At 41.3% G+C, this 23,421-nt stretch overlaps 1 long non-coding RNA gene across 2 annotated transcripts in view; it reads left to right on the forward strand.

The window, feature by feature from the left end:
- LOC101927947 (uncharacterized) overlaps positions 1–23,421 on the forward strand; it is a 469,997-nt gene that overhangs the window by 160,901 nt on the left and 285,675 nt on the right. The window contains exon 1 of one of the 2 annotated variants that reach the window (XR_007058335.1): positions 15,402–15,738. The exons of the other annotated variant lie outside the window; for it this stretch is intronic. This is a non-coding gene — a long non-coding RNA (uncharacterized LOC101927947). Of the gene's footprint in view, positions 1–15,401; positions 15,739–23,421 lie in introns of those variants that run through there. 2 annotated transcript variants of the gene reach the window in all.

The raw sequence follows: 23,421 nt of genomic DNA on the forward strand, positions 1-23,421 counted from the left end.
TTGAGAATCCATTAGTCTGCAATTTGATGGAAATTCCACCCACAGGCTCTCCAGGAAACCTTACATTTACAGCTTGTTTCTAGGTCTTTCTCTCTCTTTCTTTAGTCAGGACTTTGGTTCCTAAGAGTTTTTGAGAAATAAAATTGACACTGTTTAGGTACACTGGCTATTTAGATAGTCACTAGCCTTGCATGGTTATTTAAATTTAAATTCACATATTTAAATAAAATTAAAACTTAGTTTCTTAGTCATACTAGTCACCTTTCAAGTGCTCAGTAGCTGCATGTGGAGTGGCTACCTTATTGAAAGTTACAGATATAGAGCATTTCCATTATCATAGAAAGTCCTATTAGACAGTACTGACCTGTAGCCTTGTTTATAGAAATGTGGGTCTTTGAAATGTAGTTCCTCACCATAGGAGAAGCATGTTGTCATCTAAATCCCTAAAGTGGAAATCTAATGGACATATTGACACTTCATTTTACTTTCCTTTTTAGAGAGAGGTCATCAATGAATAAGGATGGCTTCTCCCATAATCTTTAGTTAATGGTAACCAAGGACGCAAGCAACAATAACAAAAATCCCTCACCATTGTATAAATGGCATGGTCTTTCTGCTACTTAGAAGAAAAGACCCCCATGGCTGTGCGATTTTATTTCCTTGGCTCTTTTAAAAATTATTTTAAAATGTTCGTTTTTATTTGACACACAATAATTGTACATATTTATGAGGTACAATGTTACACTTCAATACATGGATATGTTATGTAATGATCAAATCAGGGAAATAAGCATTTCTATCACCTCAAACATTTATCAGTTCTTTGTAGTGAGGAATATTCAAATTCCTGTCTTCTCGCTATTTTGAAATATACAATACATTATTATTAACTATAGTCACCACACTGTGCATTAAAATACCAGAACTTATTTCTCCTATCATTCATGTTGTTGCACACACACACACACCTTCAACACACACACCACATTTTCTTTCTTTCTTTCTTTCCTTCCTTCCTTCCTTCCTTCGTTCCTTCCTTCCTTCCTTCCTTCCTTCCTTCCTTCCTTCTTTGTTTTCTTTCTTTCTTTCTTTCTTTCTTTCTTTCTTTCTTTCTTTCTTTCTTTCTTTCTTTCTTTCTTATCTTCCTTTCTTTTGACAGGGTCTCACTCTGTTGCTCAGGCTGGAGTGCAGTGGCACAATCATGGCTCACTGCAGCCTCAACTTCCTGGGCACAGGTGATTCTCCCACCTTAGCCTCCCAAATAGCTGAGACTATAGACATGGGTTACCATACCCAGCTAATTTTTTGTACTTTTGGTAGAGATGGGGTTTCACCATGTTGCCCAGGCTTGTCTCAAACTCCTGGGCTTAATGAATCCACTTGCCTCAGCTTCCCAAAGTGCTGGAATTACAGTCATGAACAACTGTGCCTGGACTATACCACATTTTCTTTATTCATTCATCCATTGATGAATACTTAGGTTGATTCCATATCTTGATTATTGTGAACTGTGTTGCGATAAACATAGGAGTGCAGATAGCTCTTCAATATACTGATTTCATTTTCTTTGGATATATACCCAGTAGTGAGATTGCTGGATCATGAACATGTGATAGTTCTATTTTTAATTTTGGGGGAAACCTCCTACTATTTTCCATAATGTCTAATTTATATTCCCAACAACAGTTCCTTTTCTCCACATCTTTGCCAACACTAGTTATTTCTTGACTTTTTTGACAATAGCCATTCATACTAGAGTGAGGTGTTAGCTTGTGGTTTTGATTTGCATGTCCCTGATGATTAGTGATGTTGAGCATTTTTTCATATACTTGTTGACAATTTTATGTCTTTTTTTAAGAAATGTTTATTCAGGTCTTCTGCCCATTTTTAATTGAGTTATTTATTATTCTGCTATTGAGTTGTTTGAGCTCCTTATATATTTTAGATATTGGTCCCTTATTGGATGTACAGTTTGCAAATATGTTTTTGCATGTCATAGGGTGTCTCTTCACTCTGTTGATTGTTTCTCTTGCTGTGCAGAAGCTTTTTAGTTTTATGTAATTCCACTTGTCTATTATTGCTTTTGCTGGCTGTGCTTTTGAGATCTTATTCAAAAAATCGTAGCTTAGACCAATGTCATGGAGATTTTTCCTTATTTTTTCTTCTATCAGTTTCGTAGTATTGGGCCTTACATTTAAGTCTTTAATCCATCTTGAGTTTATTTTTGTTTATGGTGAGAAATAAGAGTCTAATTTTATTCTTCCGTATGTGGATATCCAGTTTCCCCAAGTCCATTTATTAAAGAGACTGTCTTTTCCTTATTGTGTGCTCTTGACACCTCTGTTGAAAATCAACTGGCTGTACATGCGTGGCTTTATTTCTGAGGTCTCTTTTCTGTTCCATTGGTCTATGTGTCTGTTTTTATACCAGTACCATGTTGCTTTGGTTATTATAGGTTTGTAGTACAATTTGAAGTCAGGTGGTGTGATGTCTTGAGCACTGTTTTTTTTAAAATGCAAGTCTGCTATGTCTATTTGGAGTCTTTTTTTTTGGTTCCATGCAAACTTTGTGATTGTTTTTTCTATTTCTATGAAAAATGTCACTGGTATTTTGATAGGGGTGGCATTGAATCTGCAGATTGCTTTGGGTAATATGGACATTTTAACAATATTTATTCTTCCATCCATGAACATAGACTATCTTTCCATTTATTTGTGTCTTTTTCAATGTATTCAATCAATGTTTTATAGTTTTCAGTGTTGCAATCTCTCATCTCCTTAGTTAAATTTATTACAAGCTGCTTTATTTTTTGTAGCTGCCATAAATGGGATTGTGTCCTTGACTTCTTTTTTCTCCAGAAAATGTGCCATTAGTGTATAGAAATGCTATTGATTTTTGTATGTTGATTTTGTATATTTCTACTTTGCTAAATTTATTTATTAGATCTATCAGTTTTTTTGGTGGAGTCTTTAGGGTTTTCTACATATAACATCACATTGTCCACAAAGACAGACAATATAACTTTTTCCTTTCTAATTTGGTTGTCTTTTGTTTCTTTCTCTTGTATGATTCCTCTTGCTAGGACTTCTAGTACTATCTTGAGTACAAGTGGGGAGAGTGGGCATCCTTGTCTTGGTTCCAGTTCTTAAGGGAAAAGCTTTCAACTTTTTCCCATTCATTATGATGTTAGCTGTGGGTAAGTCATATAAGGCCTCTATTGTGTTGAGCTACATTCCTTCTATACCTAATTTGTTGGGAGTTTTTATTACAAAAGGATGTTGAATTTTGTCATATGTTTTTCTGTATCTACGGAAATGACCACATGGGTTTTGTTCTTTATTCTGTTGATGTGATGTATCACATTTATTGATATGTGTATGTTGAACCATCCTCTCATCCCTGTTAATCCTACTTGATCATGGAAAAACATTTTTTTTTGAGATGGAGTCTCACTCTGTCACCCAGGCTGGAGTGCAGTGGCACGTTCTCGGCTCACTGCAAACTCTGCCTCCCAGGTTCAAGCGATTCTCCTGCCTCAGCCTCCCAAGTAGGTGGGATTACAGGCATGCAACACCATGCCTGGCTAATTTTTTTTTTTTTTTTTTTTTTTTGGTAGAGATGGGGTTTTGCCATGTTGGTCAGGCTGTTCTAAAACTACTGACCTCAGATGAGCCATCTGCCTTGACTTCCTAAAGTGCTGGGATTACAGGCATGAGCCACCATGCCTGGTCCCCCCAACCCCCACTTTATTTTTAAAGACTGAAAGTTTTATTGCACTCTTAGCAGTACTGGTTATTAGCATTTATTTTCATTCTTTGTCAATCTGATGAGGGAGGGGTCTCTTTCTGTAATTTAATTAGGTAAAGTTGAATTTTTGCTCACATATTCATAGGAATAACTTTACTACCTTAAGGACTGGTAATTGCCTTTTAATTAAGAAGTAATATTGCATTTAGTTGTTTTTTTCAGAATACATATAGCTTTGTTTTTATTTATTTACTTATTTTTAATTTGCTTTCAGAGTTTTTTTTTCTATAGGTTATTAGGGTACAGGTGGTATTTGGTTACATGAGTAAGTTCTTTAGTGGTGATTTGTGAGAGCTTGGTGCACCCATCACCCAAGCAGTATACAGTGTGCCCTATTTGTAGTCTTTTATCCCTCACCCCCTTCCCACCTTTTCCCCTAGTCCCCAAATTTCATTGTATTATTTTTATGCCTTTGTGTTCTCATAGCTTAGCTCCCATGTATTGCTGAGAACATACGATGTTTGGTTGTCCATTCCTGTGTTACTTCACTTAGAATAATAGTCTCCAATCTCATCCAGGTGGCTGCAAATGCCGTTAATTCATTCCCTTTTATGGCTGAGTAGTATCCCATTGTGTATATATATATACCACAGTTTCTTTATCTACTCATTGATTGATGGACATTTGGGTTGGTTCCACGATTTTGCAATTGCAAATGGTGCTGCTATAAACATGTGTGTGCAAGTATCTTTTTCGTATAATGACTTCTTTTCCTATGGGTATATACTCAGTAGTGGGATTGCTGGATCAAATGGTAGTTCTACTTTTAGCTCTTTAAGGAATATCCACACTGGTTTCTATAGTGGCTGTACTAGTTTACATTCCCAGCAGCAGAGTAGATATGTTCCCTGATCACTGCATCCATGCCAATGTCTACTGCTTTTTTATTTTTTTGATTATGATGACCATTCTTGTAGGATTAAGGTGGTATTGCACTGTGGTTTTCATTTGCATTTCCCTGATCATTAGTGATGTTGAGGATTTTTTCATATGTTTGTTGGCCATTTGCATATCTTCTTTTGAGAGTTGTCTATTCATGTTCTTAGAGTACTTTTTGATGGGTTTGTTTGTTTTTTTCTTACTGATTTGTTTGACTCCGTTGTAGATTCTGGATATTAGTCCTTTGGTCATATTTATAGATTGTGAAGATTTTCTCCCACTCTGTGGGCTGTCTGTTTACTGCTGATTATTTCTTTTGTTGTGCCGAAGCTTTTTAGTTTAATGGTTCTGTCTATTTATCTTTGTTTTTGTTGCATTTGCTTTGGGTTCTTGGTCATGAAGTCTTTGCATAAGCCAATATCTAGGAGGGGTTTTCCAATGTTATCTGCTAGAATTTTTATAGTTTCAGGTCTTAGATTTAAGTCTTTGATCTATCTTGAGTTGATTTTTGTATAGAGTGAGAGATGAGGATCCAGTTCCATTCTTCTACATGTGGTTTGCCAACTATCCCAGCACCATTTGTTGAATAGGGTGTCCTTCCTCCACTTTATATTTTTGTTTGCGTTGTCGAAAATCAGTTGACTGTAAGTATTTGGCTTGATTTCTGGGTTCTCTATTCTGTTCCATTGGTCTATATTCCTGTTTTAATACCAGTACCATGCTGGTTTGGTGACTATGGGCTTATAGTACAGTTTGAAGTCAGTTAATGTAATGCCTCCAGATTTGTTCTTTTTGCTTAGTCTTGCTTTGGCTATGTGGGCTCTTTTTTGTTTCCATATGAATTTTAGGATTGTTTTTTCTAATTCTGTGAAGAATGGTGGTGGTATTTTGATGGGGTTTGCACTTAATTTGTAGATTGTTTTTGGCAGTATGGTCATTTTCACAATATTGATTCTACCCATCCAGGAACATGGGATGTGTTTGCATTTGTTTGTGTCATCTATGATTTCTTTCAGGAGTGTTTTGTAGTTTCCTGGTAGAGATTTTTCATGTCCTTGGTTAGGTATATTCTTAAGTATTTTATTTTATTTTTTCAGCTATTGTAAAAGAGTTGAGTTCTTGATTTGATTCTCAGCTTGGTCACCGTTGGTGTATAGAAGAGCTACTGATTTGTATACATTAATCTTGTATCCTAAAACTTTGCTGAATTTTTTTTTTATCAGTTCTAGAATCTCTATGGAGGAGTCATTAGGGTTTTTGAGATAAATGATTATATCATAATCAAACAGTGACAGTTTGACTTCCCCTATACCGATTTGGGTGCCTTCCATTTCTTTCTCTTGTCTGATTGCTCTGGCTAAGACTTCCAGTGCTATGTTGAAGAGGAGTGGTGAGAGTGGGCATCCTTGCTTTGTTCCAGTTCTCAGAGGGAATGCTTTCAACTTTTCCCCTTTCAGTATTATGTTGGCTGTGGGTTTGTCATAGATGGCTTTTATTACATTGAGGTATGTCCCTTGTATGGCAATTTTGCTAAGAGTTTTAATCCTAAAGGGGTGCTGGATTTTGTTGAATGCTTTTTCTGTATCTATTGGGATGGTCATGTAATTTTTGTTTTTAATCCTGTTTATATGGTGTATCACATTTATTGACTTGCATATGTTAAACCATCCCTGCATTCCTGATATGAAACCTACTTGATCATGTGGATTATCTTTTTGATATGTTGTTGGATTTGGTTAGCTAGTATTTTGTTAAAGATTTTAGCATCTACCTCCATCAGGAAAATTGTTCTGTAGTTTCCTTTTTTGGTTATGTCCTTTCATGGTTTTGGTATTAGGGTAATGATGGCTTCATATAATGAATTAGGGAGGGTTCCCTCTTTCTCTTATCTTGTGGAATAGTGTCAAAAGGATGGATACCAGTTTTTCTTTGAATGTCTGGCAGAATTCTGCTGTGAATCCCTCTGGTCCTGGAATTTTTTTGTTGGTAATTTTAAAGTTGGAGATCATGTCTTTGAGCTCTGCATTTCTTTCTTCTACTTGTTCAATTCTATTGCCAAGACTTTCCAGAGCATTTTGCATTTCTATAAGTGTCTCCAATATTTCCTGAAGTTTTGATTGGTTTTTCTTTATGCTACCTGTTTCCTTGAATATTTCTCCCTTCACTTCTTGTATCATTTTTTGGATTTCTTTGCATTGGGCTTCACCTTCTTCTGGTGCCTTCCTGATTAGCTTAATAACTAACCTCCTGATTTCTTTTTTCAGGTAAATCAGGGATTTCCACTTGGCTTGGTTCCAGTGCTGGTTAGCTAGTGAGATTTTTTTGGGGGTGCTAAAGAGCCTTGTTTTGTCATATTACGAGAGCTGGTTTTCTGGTTCCTTCTTATTTGTGTAGACTCTGTCAGAGGGAAGGTCTAGGGCTGAAGGCTGTTGTTCAGATCCTTTTGTCCCATGGGGTGTTCCCTTGATATAGTACTCTTGCCCTTTTCCTATGGATGTGGCTTCCTGTGAAGCAAGCTGCAGTGATTGTTATCTGTCTTGTGGGTCTAGCCATCCAGCAAGTCTACCTGGCTCCAGGCTGGTACTGGGGGTCATCTGCACAGAGTCCTGTGATGTGAACCATTTATGGGTCTCTCAGCCATGGATACCAACACCTGTTCTGGTGGAGGTGGCAGGGCGGTGAAATTGACTCTATGAGGGTTCTTAGCTTTGGTGGTTTAATGTTCTGTTTTTGTGCTGGTTGGCCTTCTGCTGGGAGATGGTGCTTTCCAGACAGCATCAGCTGTGGTAGTATAGGGAGGAACTGGTGGTAGGCAGGGCCCTAGAACTCCCAAAAGTATATGCCGTTTGTCTTCAGCTACCAGGGTGGATAGGGAAGGCTCATGATGTGGGGGCAGGGCTAGGCATTTCTGAGCTCAGACTCTCCTTGGGTGGGTCTTGCTGTGGCTGCTGTGGGGGATGGGGGTGAGGTTCTCAAATCAATGGAGTTGTGTACCTAGGAGGATTATGGCTACCTCTGCTGCGTCATGCAAGTTGTCAGGGAAGTTGGGGAAAGCCGGCAGTTACAGGCCTTACCCAGCTGCCATGCAATCTGATGGTCTGGTCTCACTCCCACCGTGCCCCCCATAACAGCCCTGAGTCTGTTTCCAGGCAGCGGGTGAGCCAGGCTTGAGAGCTTGCCCCAGGCTACCCACCTCCCACTGCGAAAGAACAGGACTTTGGTTCTTCCACAAGAACAGAACTTGTGGAGTCTGCACACTGGATTCACTCCCTCCCTGACACCAAGTTCTGGCAAGGAGGCTTCTCACCTGGTTCCAATTATTACAGAGTTCAGCTAGTGACTTCCTTTTTCCTGTAGCATTTTTCTCCATGCCTCTGGCTGTCCTCCTGAAGGGTCCCTGTGGTACCAGGCAGGAATGGCCTGCTTGGGGACCCAGTGAGCTTTCATGGTCTTTCCTGCTGCTTTCTCTACCCCTGTGTTTTGCTCGGTTCTCTAATTTGACTCAGCTTCAGGTAAGGTTGGAAACTTGTCCCACAAACTAGATCTTTATTTTCTCCAGTGGGGGTGTGTGTTTGGGAGTGGAGGGTCTCCCTTTCCTACTTCCAAAGTTTGGGGTACTCACAGTAGTTGGGGTGTCTCCCGGGTCCTACAGGAGCAGTCTGCTTCCTTCAGAAGGTCTGTGGGTCCTCTTGGGATTCCTGTTTTGTTCTTGCAGTCATTCTGGAGCTAAAATTCATGATTTAAGCCTCCACACACTGCTCTGTCTGAGTCAGAGCTACAATCTAGTCCTGCCTCCCATCCACCATGATGATCTGTGGAAAACCTTTCTGATGTACCATTGAATTTGGCTTGTTAGGATTTTGTTGAGGATTTTTGCATGTGAGTTCATCATAAATATTCATTTGCAGTTTTCCTTTTTAGTGTGTATCTTTGTCAGGTTTGGCATCAAACTTATTCATAGGATAAATTTGGAAGTATTCCATCCTCTTCAATTTTTTGGAATAGTTTAAGAAGAATTGGCATTAGTTCTTCTTTACATGTTTTGTAGAATCTAGCAGTGAAGCAGTCAGGTTCTGGGTGGAAACTTTGATAGAAGACATTTTATAGTATTATTACTGGTTCAATCTCCTCACTAACTATTGATCTTTTCAGATTTTTTATTTCTTCATGATTCAATTTTGGTATATGGTATGTGTATTTATTAATTTCTTCTAGATTATCGAGTTTGTTGGTGTATAATTGCTTATAATAGTCTCATGATTTTTTGCATTTCTGTGGTATCAGCTGTAATGTCTTCTTTTTCATCTTTGATTTTATTGAGTCTTTTCTTTAGCAGTCTTCTTAGTCTGGCTAAAGGTTTGTCAATTTTATCTTTCCACAAAGCCAACCCTTTGTTTCACTGATCTTTGTATTGCTTTTTAAATCTCTATTTCTGCTCGTTTTTATTAATTTTTCTTTCTACTAACCTTGGGTTGAATTTGTTCTGGTTCCTTGAGATACAGTATTAGATTGTTTATTTGAGGTCTTTCTTCTTTCTTGATGTAGGTGTTTGTTGCTATAAACTTCCCTCTTAGGACTGCTTTTGCCGTATCCTATAGTTTTTCATATGATGCATTTCCATTTTAATTTGCCTCAAGGAATTTTAAAATTTCTCTCTTAATTTCTTCTTCTACCCATTGGGTATTCAATAGTGCATTGTCTCGTTTCCATGTACTTGTAAATTTTCCAAATTTCCTCCTGTCATTGATTTCCAGTTTTATACCATTTTGGTATGGTTCAAATCTTCTTTAGTTTGTTAAGATTAAGTTTGTGACCTAACATATGATCTATCCTGGAGAAAGTTCCATGGGCAATTGAGAGGAATGTGTATTCAGTGGCTGTTAGATGAACTGTTCTGTAAATGTCTCTCTCCATTTCTATTCAACATTGTCCTAGGGGGTCTAGTCAGTGCAACAAGGCAAGAAAAGGAAATAAAAGAAATACAATTTGGAAAGTAAGCAATAAAACTCTTTCAGATGACATGATTGCTTACATTGAAAATCTCAATCTAGAATAATGCTATTAGATCCAATAAGTGAATTTAACTGGATTGCAGCATACAAATTCATTATATTAAAATCAACTGTACTTCTGTATACTAGCAATGAGTAATTTGAAATTGAAATAAAAACTTTAAAAAGAGCTTGCTAAGTTTCTTATAAGGTTGAATACACTTATCATAAGACTTAGCAATCCTACTCCTAGATTTTACCTGTCCCCTCCTTCCTCCACCTGTTTGTATTTCTTCAATCTCTGGTGCTAGAGGGCTGCGTTCCAGTCTTGCTTAGCATTTCTTAGCTGCGTGACTGGACCAGTTTCAAACTCCTGCCTAAAATGAGGAGAACCACAGGACTTACTGCACTGGAGAGTTGTGAGGATTAAATGAGTTACCTCAGGTGAAGGGCCCAGAGAGGATTCTGAATATGGTGTCACCCAATACATGTTAGTTTTATGGTCACTGCCAGCACCCATCAGGATGCAGATGTTTTGTGAAATTCAGAGACATTCTCTTCCTAGTGTATCTGCTAAAACACAAACTCAAACCTACCCTTGAAGTCACCTTTTTTTTCAGCACTATGTTATAAAAACATGCCAGAGGTGGAAAAATTTATCAACCTTCCAAGCCTTTTCATATATATATACATACATATACACAAATGTTTCAGAATAAGAAAATGTCAACTTTTCATGGACAACAATATGCAGGCAACAGTCATGCCTCTCAGGGAGGTTACCGAGAGCTTCATCACTGCCTGGGCAGGTGTGAGGTGGCCCAGGGAAAGGGGGCTCAGCATGAAGTCATGAGCAGTTGACCATCTTTATCGAGTATGTGTGTGTGTGTGTGTGTGCATGAGAGAGAGAGAGAGAGAGAGAGAGAGAGGAATTTTTTTTTGGCTAGGTTGCTCTGGATTCTGTCAAAATGACATTCATGCTTCTCATGGTCCCCACCAACACTCCAGAAGAGATGAGAGCAAAATGCAATAAAATCAAATCCAGGTCCACATGGCAGCCCTTCCCATAGATGGTTTTGTTTTTCAAGATCATGAAAATGACACAGGCTAAGAATTCCCAAGCCCATCCAGAACAAAAATCTAGCGTACTTGAGATTAAAAAGCTTGCTCTAAAATGAATTTTAATTTCTTTTATCTTCTACTCTTCCTTCTCATCCCTCCTACCTTCCCATCCCTTCTTTTCCTCTTTCTGTTTCCTCTCTTCTTTCTCCTTCTTATTTCCAGGAAAGGAAGGAATGTTGGGGGTCAGGAATCAGATAGTTGTGAAAGTTCTGCTCTGGTGCTGTTACTATGGTTTGAATGTATTGGAAACTTAATCCCCAAATTCATATATTGATTGGACATTGGGCCTTCTGGAGGAAATTAGGTTTAGATAAGATCATCAGGGTGGGGGGGGGGGCAAAATGGGATGGGTGGCTTTATAAGAAGAAAAAGAAAGACTCTAGCTGACCTGCACATTCTTGCTCTCACCACGTGATGCCCTCCACTGTGTTATGATGCAGTGAGAAGTCCCTCACTGGATGTCAGCCTTAAACTTCCCAGCCTCCAGAACCAGAAGAAATAATTCTTTATAAATCACCCAATCTAAGGTATTCTGTCATAGGAACGGACAACAGACTGAGATGGCTGTTATTTTAAGAAATAAAGCTGGCATATATTCCCCTCACTCAAAGTACTTCTAAAATGCAGATGTCCACCACCAAAGGGCATTGCATGTAGGTGCATATGCACAAACATAGACATCACCATTGCTAAATAGCAGGTACCATGGAGAACAGAGCAATGAACCATTTCCTCATATGGAAAGAAAATACCTAATAAAACCCAAGCAAAGAGTCCAAAATAGCTCCACTTTATTTTTGAGCACTCTTATGTAGAACCATTTAGCCAGGGCCAGGAATAATTGGTGCCAGGTGCCTTGTAGAGATGCCAGGTTCATGGATTTCTCACTCTCTTTATGGGAGGATGACTTAATAACACATCTTTGTCTGCTGAATGTTTGAATCTTATTTCTGAGATTATACCCAAAGATGGCAGCCCTCCTCTGCATGAGTAAATCACATTGAAAATAGGAAAAAGAGTCCAGGCAATCAATGCCTGTCTCAGCTGAAACATAATTATAAGTCCACTGTGCTTAGAGGTAATACTTTATTAAAAAGAATATCAGGACTGGGTGCAGTGACTCATGCCTGTAATCCCAACACTTTGGGAAGCCGATGCGGGCAGATCACAAGGTCAGGAGTTCGAGACCAGCCTGGCCAATGTAGTGAAACCCTGTCTCTACTAAAAATACAAAAAATTAGCTGGGCGTGGTGGTGGGTGCCTGTAATTCCAGCTACTTGGGAGGCTGAGGCAGGAGAATCGCTTGAACCTGGGAAGCAGAGGTGGCAGTGAGCCAAGATTGTGCCATTGCACTCCAGCCTGGCAACAGTGCGAGACTCCATCTCAAAAAAAAAAAAAAAAAACAAAAAAAAAAACTCTCTCTCTTTATATATATATGTATATATACATATATATATATACATATATATATGTATATATATATGTATATATATATATATATATATGTATATATATCAGAGCTACATTTTTGGTTTGGTGGCTAAGTCATAATTGTAGAAATCTATTTTCCAATAAATCCTTCCCTTGAACCTAAATATATAAAAGAGATAATGTGTGGAGCTGCTCTGGTTATATTGGGGGTTGGGGGTCCAAGGCATTGCCCATTTAGCTTCTTCCTTGGCTCCCACTTAAGCCACTACTCACCCTCCCCATAAGCTCCCCATGGAGCTCCTCTAACAGAGCGTGAAGAGTACTGACTGTTATGCTGGTTATTAGTGAATACATAGTACCCATTACTACACAGGGGGAAACTGAGGCCTGGAAAATGAAGTGTGATGCCAAAGTGTTGGAGCTGGTGCTGCTGCTGGGACCTGCCACCTCCTGTAGAGCACTAAGTGTCAGCGAGCACTAAGTATCATACTCTGTGACCCTTAGCAAGGCAGCCCCTCTTGGGACAGCACATGCACCCTGCTCCCCAACAGGAAGCGAACATTTAAACTAGTTTGACCTTGAATGTAAAGTCATGGAGTGAAATAGTCTACTTAGCAGAGCCCTTCAGGGTGTTCTCCTTTTCCTGTCAATTTGGTATTTTAGTTTTGGAAAACAAAAATATTCTGTAAGAGGAGCTCTGATTTGGTTCACAAGCCTGTGCTAGTAATAGGAGAACTTGGATAGCCAGGCATCCTACTGTCTTGCTCCTCCACACCCCTGCTTCCTCACCTTTGCCAGGTGCCACCTGGCCTGGTGGAATGGTGGGCAAGTACTGCAAGAACATGCTCTAAGCCACGGGGTGGTGCAGCCTGCCCGCCCAGGCCCCTTGGCAGGAAGCTGGCAAACAGGCATCTCATCTCAGAGACAGGACAGTGAAGTGGACAGACTCCTCTGTGTGTGTGTGTGTGTGTGTGTGTGTGTGTGTGTGTGTGTGTGTGTGCGCGCGCGCGCGCGCGCGCACTTAAATAGCATGATTTTCCTCTCTAATTAAAAAAATGAAATTTACAAGGAAAATTTATACCATATAATAAGGATAAAGAGAACGTCACTATATAGAGAAGCATTTTTTTTTTTTTGAAACGGAGTCTCGCTTTGTCGCCCAGGCTGGAGTGCAGTGGTGTGATCTCGGCTCACTGCAACCTCCGCCTCCCAGGTTCATGCCGTTCTCCTGCCTCAGCCTCCTGAGTAGCTGGGACTACAGGTGCCTGCCACCATGCCTGGCTAATTTTTTGTATTTTTAGTAGAGATGGGGTTTCACCATGTTAGCCAGGATGGTCTCGATCCCCTGACCTTGTGATCTGCCCGCCTCAGCCTCCCAAAGTGTTGGGATTACAGGCAAGAAGCATTTTAAAATACATATCCTTAGATTCTTTCTTTCCTTCCCTCCCTCCTGTCTTTATTTTCTCTCTTCCTACTTTTTTTTCACTATTTCATTTTGCCAAAATGAGATCATACTGCTTGTGATCCCCTTTTATTTACTTCATGTATTGTGAACACATTTTTTGTGATAAATACATAATAATGTGTACTTATTATTGGTTTAGAAGTATTCCTTTGTGCTGTAACTCATTCAAGTACATTTCTACTTTTTAACCTTTGTTTTTTCTGCCTTTATAAATAACATTTTTGTTACTAGTTTGAGTCCTAAATCATTGCATGTTTCTCTAGCAGGAATTCCTAGAGGTGGAATTGGTGGATATATAAGAAGAACTGTAGCGATTGTGAATAACCAGAACTATGGAACTGACTCTTCTGTCCTTAAACATTTGCTAATTACCGCACCCGACCAGCCCAATCCAGGCAGGCGGTTGATGGCAGCTCTTGGCAATCGATGCCCTCTCCATTTATCAAAGAGATAAATGGAATCATCAAATAGGAAATTCATTATTTTAAAGAGTTCATCTAAAATGGGGTCAGAGAGAGAATGTGACAAAGTCGAAAAAGCAGGCCCCTCAGAGGAGAAGGGGAAGGGGCAGGGGTGAAATGGAAATTCTCCAATTCCTCAGGCTTCCCTTTGTCCTTCCCTTGAAATCTTGTGCATCCGCCCTGACTCCAGGCCTCCTCAGCAGATGGTGCCAGGCAGCACCTTCCATTCCCTGCCCAGGGAGGTGACAAAGTTCCGGCTAGCGTGACCACAGGATGGATCTCCATTACTTCTTAGCTGATCCATGTTAAACTCAAGATGACTGTGGTCAGACTTAGTTTTCCACCGAGATTTAATTAACAAATTTTCTGGGCTGTGTTCCCTGGGGCATATTTAGAGTCATGCTCAATGTCTAACTTTCTGGGGAGTTTTCAGCTCGATGAACTTCTTTCTACTTGGACATAGCACATAGCCACAGAAATGTGTGGGGAGACTAGTGCATGAGAAGAAGCCAGCATATAACTCTGTGAATAGAAGCTCTTTCTATGTACAGGTATTTGGGGAGCAAAGGCCTCCTTTCTGCTCCTCGAGGCGGGGGGTGTGACTGGTTTCGAGAGGTGGGCTCTGTCGGTGTTGGTAGACAGGCCACCTTAACCTCCCTCAAAGGGGCAGTGGAGCAGGCTAATGAGTATCCTCTGCGAGCTTGAGAGGTGCACATGCATTCACTTAAAGCAAGGTGGGCCCCTGCCAATTTGTCCAGATTCACTGCCAGTTGGCAGTAAGATTGAATCCTGAGGAGAGACAGAGAGAGTGGAAGGCCTGGCCTGGGGTTCTGGCCTGACCAGCGAGCAGTAGCTTTCATGTATGGGGAGGCCACGTTTCAGCATAGATGGGCCGAGATGGGCCCAGTCTCTAGCAATTACCTTCATGGTTTTCTGCCAGAGGCTATTTTTTTCCAAGGGAAAACTTCCCATTTGTTTTTTGTATTTTTAAAGTGTGTGTGTGCGTGTTTGCTCTTTGTGCTAAGGGTACATGTTCAGCAGAAGGAATTGGCAGGAGCACACGCTCCCTCTCTCTCTCACTTTGCATGCTTGACCCTGAGACCTTGTGTTCTCCTGAAGCCTCTGCCACGCAATCTCTTCCATCTTCTTCCTGTCTGATGATTTCCCCTGGACTCTCCCATGGGCATTTTTATGTCAATAGATTGGAATGTTTCTCTCCTCACTGGGAAAAGCTCCTTTGGTCTCAGTGAACTCAGAGGTGGAGAAAGTCATAAGAATCAGGGAGCCTGCCCCAAATTGCCTCCTATGATAACTTTCCACAAAGACTGGAGGGGAGGCTTCAAACATCTTCCTGCAGTGTCCAGCAAGACAGCGAGGCAGACTCCCTTTCTCCTGCCAAAGCCACGTGGAGCCAGACAGAACCACAAGCATACCTGTGGTGCTTGGAGGCCCAAGTAGAAACTTGAATGCTCACGGCTGCATTGGCAGCTTCTACTTGCCTGCCTGGATCACCGTTCCTCATGAGAACTTGGAAAAGCAGGACTATCATTCTTGCTTGACAGACGAAGAAACCAAGCCTCAGGTAGGTAGTTAGTTTCCCAAAGTAACATATTGTAGTGGATGGCAGGGTGGATGTGACAGTCAGCTTTGTTTGACTTTCAACTGAGTGGCATTATAAGGTTGCACTGGTCACATGGGAGACCTGACCATCCTGGGGACCCTGAAACACCTAGGCCTAGCCAATCATTAAGGCAGTTCATACCCAAAGCAGGATAGTTGGTGATCTGATTTTAGGTGGCACCAGGAAACTCCAACACTACCCTTGTGAGGTTCCATAATTTAGTGTCATTCTTTGGTTAATGGATTGTCTGCAATTACAATGAAAATATCTTTGTGTCTATAATCATTTAAGCAGTCATTTCCATCTAAGTGTGAATTAATTTATTGTCTTATTCAATGTAACAGCTAGCTGAGGCTTGATTTTATTTTCCTTCATGCATTTATTCTTTCAATTGGTATGCATTTAATGACCATCTGAGGACAAGATACTATGTGAGTTCAAGGAGGAGTAAGACATGCACTCTGCCCTAAATGAACTTACAGGTTAAAAGGGAACTGAAGTCACCATAAAGCAGCATACAGTAAGTGACATAAGAACAGCACAAATAGAAAAAAATCAATTGAGGGCAGGAACTGAGGTGTTTAGGGAGCACCCACTGGGGGAACCAACATGTGGGATGAGTCTTTGTGAAGGATGGTCATGATTTCAACTAGAACCTGTAGTGTTACAGAAGGCAGGCAGAGAAGGGAGAGGAAGGCATTGCCGGAGGGAAGGCAAGGAGCAAAGACATGGGGTAAGAAACTGACATGTTTGTTTGGGGCATTCACATGGTTCCCTTTAACTTAAGTATAGGGTATGTGGAGGGGAGTAACAAGAGATAAAGATAAAAGGTGTTTTGAGGCCTATATTTAGAAGACTGTCAGTGCCAGGCTAAGGAGGATGGTGTCTTACCTGGTCGGCAGTGGGAGCCTTTGAAAGTGTGTGAACAGTAAAGCGCCAGGACTCCAACTGTGTGCTAGGAATCATGGGTCAGAGGTTCCTGGAGAATGTTTATTTCAAGCTGAAATAATCAAGGCCTGAGCTTAAATAATAGTGGTGAGAACTGCCAGGAGGGAATGGTGCAGAAGATAGCCCGATATTGTGATATAATACAAAAATATATCCTTGTCTTCAGCCCTGGCTCTAGTTCCTTACATGGAGCTCTTAAAACCTTTGGAATTCCCTGAACGATGGGATGAGAGGAGTGTGTTATTTTATTCGTAAGCCCCTTTCAACCACACATGAGTGGATGCTAGTGAGATGGCTGGGGGTTGGGGGACTCTAGATAGCTTCTGGCTGGGGGCTGGTTCCCAGGAAGACCAAGACAGGATAAAAGAGTTGGAACTTTCAACCTCACTTCCACCCCTCAACCTCTGAAGAAAGAAGAGGAGATACAGACTGAGTCAATTGCCAATGGCCAATGATTTAATCAGTTATGCCTATGTAATGAAACCTCCATAAAATCCCCAAACAATGGGATTTGAAGGGCTTCTTGGTCAGCAAACACATCAACGTGTGAAGAGGGCACAGAAGCTCCATGTCCTCACCCCCATCGCCGGCCCTATGCATCTCTTCCATTTGGTTTTTCCTGAGTTGTAGCTTTTATAATACATAAGCAATGGGAAGTAAACTGGTTTTCTGAGTTCTGTGAGCTGTTCTAGCAAACCATTGAAACTGAGGAAGGGGTTGTGGGAACCTCTGACTTTATGACTGTTTTATCAGAAGTATGGGTGGCTGGGACTTGTGATTGGTGTCTGAAGTGGGACAGTCTTGTGGGACTGAGGCCGTAACCTGTGGGGTCTGAATTAACTCTGGGTACCTAGTGTCAGAATGGAATTTAATCATTGGATACCCAGTTGGTGTCTGGAAAGCTGGAGAACTGGTTGTGGGTGTGGAAAAAAACTTACATATTTTGGTGTCAGGGTGTTGTGAGTAGAAACAGATCATGTCAACAGATGGGCTCTTTTTTTAAAAAAAATTTTTTTACATTTCTTTTTTTCCTTCTACATTTTTTCTCTTTAAGCTTTATTTTTGATACACAATAATTGTATATATTTATGGGGTACAGTGTGATGTTTTGTTACATGTATGCAATGTGCAATGATCAAATCAGCACAATTGGGATATCCATCACTTCAAATATTTATTATTTCTTTTGGTGAGAACATTCCAAATCTTCTTTTCTAGCTATGTAAAAATATACAGTAAATTACTGTGAACTATAGTCACCTTATTATGCTACTGAACACTAGATTATATTCCTTCTATAATATCTAAGTGTGTTTTCGTTCCCACTCCCCCTCCTCACTACCCTCTGAGCCTCTAATAACTATCATTCTATTTGCTATCTCCATGTGATTCATTTATTTAGACTCCATATATAAGTGAGAACATGTGACATTTGTCTTTCTGTGCTTGGCTTATTTTACTTAACACAATGTCCTCCAGTTCCATCCATGTTGTTGTGGATGGCAGGATTTTGTCCTTTTTTACAGCTAAATAGTATTCCATTGTGTATATATATGAGATTTTCTTTATGCATTCATCCTTTGATGGATACTTCAGTTGATTCCATATCTTGGCTATTGTGAAGAGTGCTGTGGTAAACGTGGGAGTGCAGATATTTCTTCAAAATATTTGACTTCCTTTCCTTTGGCTACATACACAGTAGTGGATTGCTGGATCATATAGTAGTTTATATTCTTAATTTTTTGAGGGAACACTATACTATTTTCTGTAATGACTGTATTAATTTACATTTCCACCAACAGTGTATAAGAATTCTCCTTTCCCCACGTCCTCACCATCATTGGTCTTTTTTTTTGTCTTTTTGATAATAGTCATTTTAACTGGAGTGAGATGATAGCAGATGGGCTCTTGTTTAAGAGTAGTTGTGGTATATAAGGGAGAGGGAGATGTTAAAGATGGCCAAGTGTCAAGTCTTGGTAAGTTGAAGGTGTGGAAGATTAAGAGGAAGCCCAGGAGAAAGAACTGCTGAGGGTGGGAATAGGAGGTGTGCCAATTTAGACATGTTGACTGGAGGTAGCCGCTGGCCTGCAGGCACAGCAGGGCCTCATATGTGGGGAGAGCGTTCAGTGAGCATGAGAGGGCGCTGACGGAAGAATCAAGGAGAGACCCATGGTCACAGGGAGGCAAAGGGATTCCAAATCTGTCTCATTCAAAAACATTTTCCTGTGTGAGGCCACTATTCTAAATCCTGAGATTCATACGAGCAAGGACAAGTCACTCTTCTCATGGAGCTTTCCTTCTTATACAGCAATTGGTAGGACCCAAGTCTTCTGCAGAGCCCTAAAGTGTAGCTTTCCTTCACTAGTTGTCATTCTCAATGTGGAAACATTCAGCCTCCACTCCATCACAACCTGAAGGAAGGGCTTCCAGCTCCTCAAGCAATCTGGACCCTTCCCTGTCAATCCCCTGGCACCTGGCCACCCATACACCACCACCCATCCCCCATCAGGAGTTTCTACTATTCTGACTTCTATCATCATAGATTTGTTCTGTCTGGTCTTGAACTTTCATATGAATGTAATCACACATTTTGGGAAGCCTTCATTTGTTCAATATTGTGTGGTTGAGTAGAGTTGTAGCTTTTTTTTAATATTCCTTTTTTTGGGGGTATTATTCCATTGCAAATACCCTACCTTCTATTTGTCGATTCTACTACTTGATGAAGATTTGGGTTGTTTTCAGTTTTGGACTATTATGAATAAATCTGTTATGAACCAGCTTGGGGAGCTGACCTAAAAAAGCAGTCACATCAAGTGATAGCAGGAGTGAGTACTCAGAAAAAAAGGGGGATGTAAGATACACTTTCAACTTTCCCAGTACTTAAAGCACAGCAGGCAACCGCCAGGGAGAACCACACTCAGCTTGAGCAACAACACCCTCCCTGGAGATATGTGATTAATACCCAACTGCTCTGGTAGCCCTTAGGGCACATGAGACCTGGGATAGGGTGAGTTTTGTGTGGCGATTGGGAGGAGGGAAGTGAGGAGATCAGCTTGAGCTGTGAAAGGGCCTGGTGGGCCCATTCCTCAGGTGTATTTCTTGGTCTGGCATGGATTTCTGCCCTTGATCTCTGGCTCTGGAGGTGACTGGGATAATTGAGGCCTTATGCCCCACTCCCCGAAGACTGGTTTTGGCACATATGCAACCTGCATTTTAATATTATTCCTTATGACTGGAAGCATTTGGAAGGAGTCCTTGCCCCTGGTTTTAAAAGGTGGCATTATTTTATGAACATTTAGACATTGATTAATAAAATTCCGAACCCATTAACTAATGGGGAAATGCCAAACTTTTTTGCGTATCCGAGAAAGTAAATGTAATAAAAACTATCCCAAAAGGTAAGTTAAATTATAGTCTTTGCTTTTTCTCTCCTGATAGTCCCACCAGATGTTTTTCAAATGCAGGACACAGGCCCTTTTTTCTGTTTTCTCCAGGGAAAGAAGACAGAAAGCTTGGCTCAGCTATGCTAACTTTCAGAAGGAGAAAAAAGCACCACGTTAGGACAGGGCCTGTTGGGACTCGCCGTGCTGCTGGTTCATAAATCTGAAGACAAGGAAACTAGACCTCCGTCAATTTCCAATCCCTTTTTCCTATTGACCCCCACCCACTCTTCCCAGATCACCATTGGGAATTTAGCTCTGATTTTGAATGCTGGGAACAGAGCTTGTGAAGACCCTGTAAGCCCTGGGAGGTTGAAAGGTGGCCATTTGGTTTCTTCTCTGTGGAGAAGGGCAGGGGCTCCCTGCCCAGGCAAGGCCTCCATTTGAGGACTCCCCTCGCAGGAGCCGAGCCCATGGCCGGATGGCTATGTGGTCACTGAAGACTGGAATCAGCACCTCTCCCCAAACAGCCTGCTCAGGGCTCTAAGTTCCTCTTGCAAATGGGGATCTTGATTTCTCCACCCTTCCTCAGCCCCAATCCAAGTTTTCTGAGTCTGGAAAGAAATAAAACAGCTATAAAGTTGAGGGACAGGATATGTCCAATCCTCATGGCCCTGCGGTCATATCCTCTGCTTTTGCCGTGATGAGCCATGGAAATGTTTATAACCTGGCTGCAGTTCCTGGGCCTTAGCTCCAAGAGCGGAGCTTCCTCTCCCTCCCACGGCTTCCCCACCTCCCTGCCTTCCCTGACTGATCTGAAAAGCCAACTTGTCATCCGAAATGAAATGCAGAAGTCAGGGATGCTTTTAAATTTCTCCCTAAGAGCAGCGTTCCCAAGTTCCCAAGCTTTCTCTCACATATTGCGCTGGAGCTGGGCTTCAGAACAGTTCAAAAGAAACGGGACGGTGGGCCTAGGAGTGCCGCTCCTTTCCTTCCACAGACCCCACTCCTCTCCAAGATGTTGGCATTGTCGCCAACACAACGTGGAAGCTAGGGGGCTGCGGGGGACCACCCTGTCCCGGGGAAAAGTCAAGCAGGATCTCTCACGGTTTTTGGTGTGGGAACGGTCTCTACATGGGAGGAGCTGATGGAGCATAAAGTTTCCATTTTTGTTCCTCCATATTTGTCTTCCCTTTGGGCAGTGCTTCCTATTCCTGCTGTCCTGAGAATCACTTGGGATGCCTAAACAATGATAACACGGCCGGGCGCGGTGGCTCACGCCTGTAATCCCAGCACTTTGGGAGGCCGAGGAGGGCGTATCACGAGGTCAGGAGATCGAGACCATCCTGGCTAACACGGTGAAACCCCGTCTCTACTAAAAATACAAAAAATTAGCTGGGCGTGGTGGCGGGCGCCAGTAGTCCCAGCTGCTGGGGAGGCTGAGGCAGGAGAATGGCGTGAACCTGGGCGCAGCTTGCAGTGAGCCGAGATCGGGCCACTGCACTCCAGCCTGGGCGACAGAACGAGACTCCATCTCAAAAAAACCAAACCAAACCAAACAAGCAAGCAAAAAAAAAAAAAAAAAAAAAAAAAAAAAAAAGAATGATAAAAACACATCAAGCACAAGAGCAGGTGAGGAACCTGGAGATGGCTGGCAGGATGATCTGGCTTAATTCAATTGGCTGGCCTGTTTGTGCTACTGTCTTGTTTTAGGGCATAATTACATCTTGTGTTAGCTATAGCCACAAAAATATACAATTTAGGGGAAGAAGTGTTCCATTGAATCAAAAGATGGCAGGCAAACAAAGGATGGAAATGATATTCATGGATGGACTTTTCTTGGTCTTGAACTACAAGTGGTTTTGCAACCCATTCTTAATTCTTGGTTCTGAATGACTCCCCTCTTAACCTCCCCACGTGTGAGGATTTACTGGTGCCCTGATCCCATAACTTAATTTTTGTCCTCTCTTTTTCTTTTGGATTATGAATGTCTGCTGAAGTTAAGCTGCAATAACATAATTTGTCATTGTCTAACATGCAGTGTTATGTTTGAGCCTTTTGACTGAGCAGCATAAATTAGTGTCCTGTTTTATTAATGGTATAAATTCATAGGAGTAGGTTTATTTCAAGTGAGAGATAAGCTGCATAGCCAGGGAAAACTGAAAATGGCACTTGTAGAAAGAAGTTGCTTAATTTTCTGCCACTATCCCATTAGGCCAATCATCCCCTTTATAGGAATCTACCTACAGGCAATTTTCAAAGTCCTAAGCAAGAAACCCTATCATATTTTCCACTGTATTATAGACATTACTTTTCATTTCTGTAGTTCTTGGGGGCAGTGGATAAAATGGTCTTTCTTCACTCAGTATGTGGAGTGCTACAGTCTCCTCTTCTTGAAAGCCTCCACCTCTTACTCAGCCCTTCCTTCAACTCTACTGCCAAAGTTATTTCACACCCTGTGTTTGCTCAGTGCATTCAACCTGATCCCCATGCCTCAGAGGGCCTTCCAGTGGCTCTGCAAAAGAAGGCTTGGGGTCTCATCTTTTGCTCCAAAGTCTAACCCTTTTCTTACTAATGCTGCACAATGCCCTCTGCTTCTAGTCACATTTCCCCCAAAAGCCACACCCTAGTGTCTTGGTGTTCTAGTCATTCTTTCTTCATTCCCACAATATACAGAAATTCCCTTTTTTTAATGAGGCCCTTCCCAACTGCTTTGTAAAAGAACGGGTCTTGCTTCTGGAAGGTAAGCAACATGGCCCCTTTGCCACTCCATTGCCTCTTGCATAATAAAAATGACAATAATTGTCTCAATGGCTAACACTTACGTAGCACCAATTATGTGCCAGTCACAGTCCTAAGCATTTTATATGTCAACTGATTTAATCTTGGCAAAAGTCCTTTTAAGTGATGTGATGGTTAATTGTTTGTGTCCAATTAACTTGGCCAAGGTGCCCAGATATGTGGTCGAACATTTTACTGAATGTTTCTGTGAGGGTGTTTTTGGTTGAGAGTAACATTTACCTGGGTAGACTGAACAAAGCGGATTGCCCTTCATAATGCTGGTGGGCCTCATCCAATCAGTTGAAACCCTGAATAGAACACAAGACTGACTTCCCTCAGGCAAAAGGAAATTCTGCCAGGAGATGGCCTTTGGACTTGAACCACAGCATCAGCTCTTCCCCGGTCTCCAGTCTTCCAGTCCACCCTGCAGATTTTGGACTTGCCAACCTCTGTAATCACATGAGCCAATTCCTTAAATCCCTTTACAGACACACACACACACACACACACACACACACACACACACACACACACA

This window comes from Homo sapiens, chromosome 4 (assembly GCF_000001405.40).
Source record: "Homo sapiens chromosome 4, GRCh38.p14 Primary Assembly".
Classification (NCBI taxonomy): domain Eukaryota; kingdom Metazoa; phylum Chordata; class Mammalia; order Primates; family Hominidae; genus Homo; species Homo sapiens.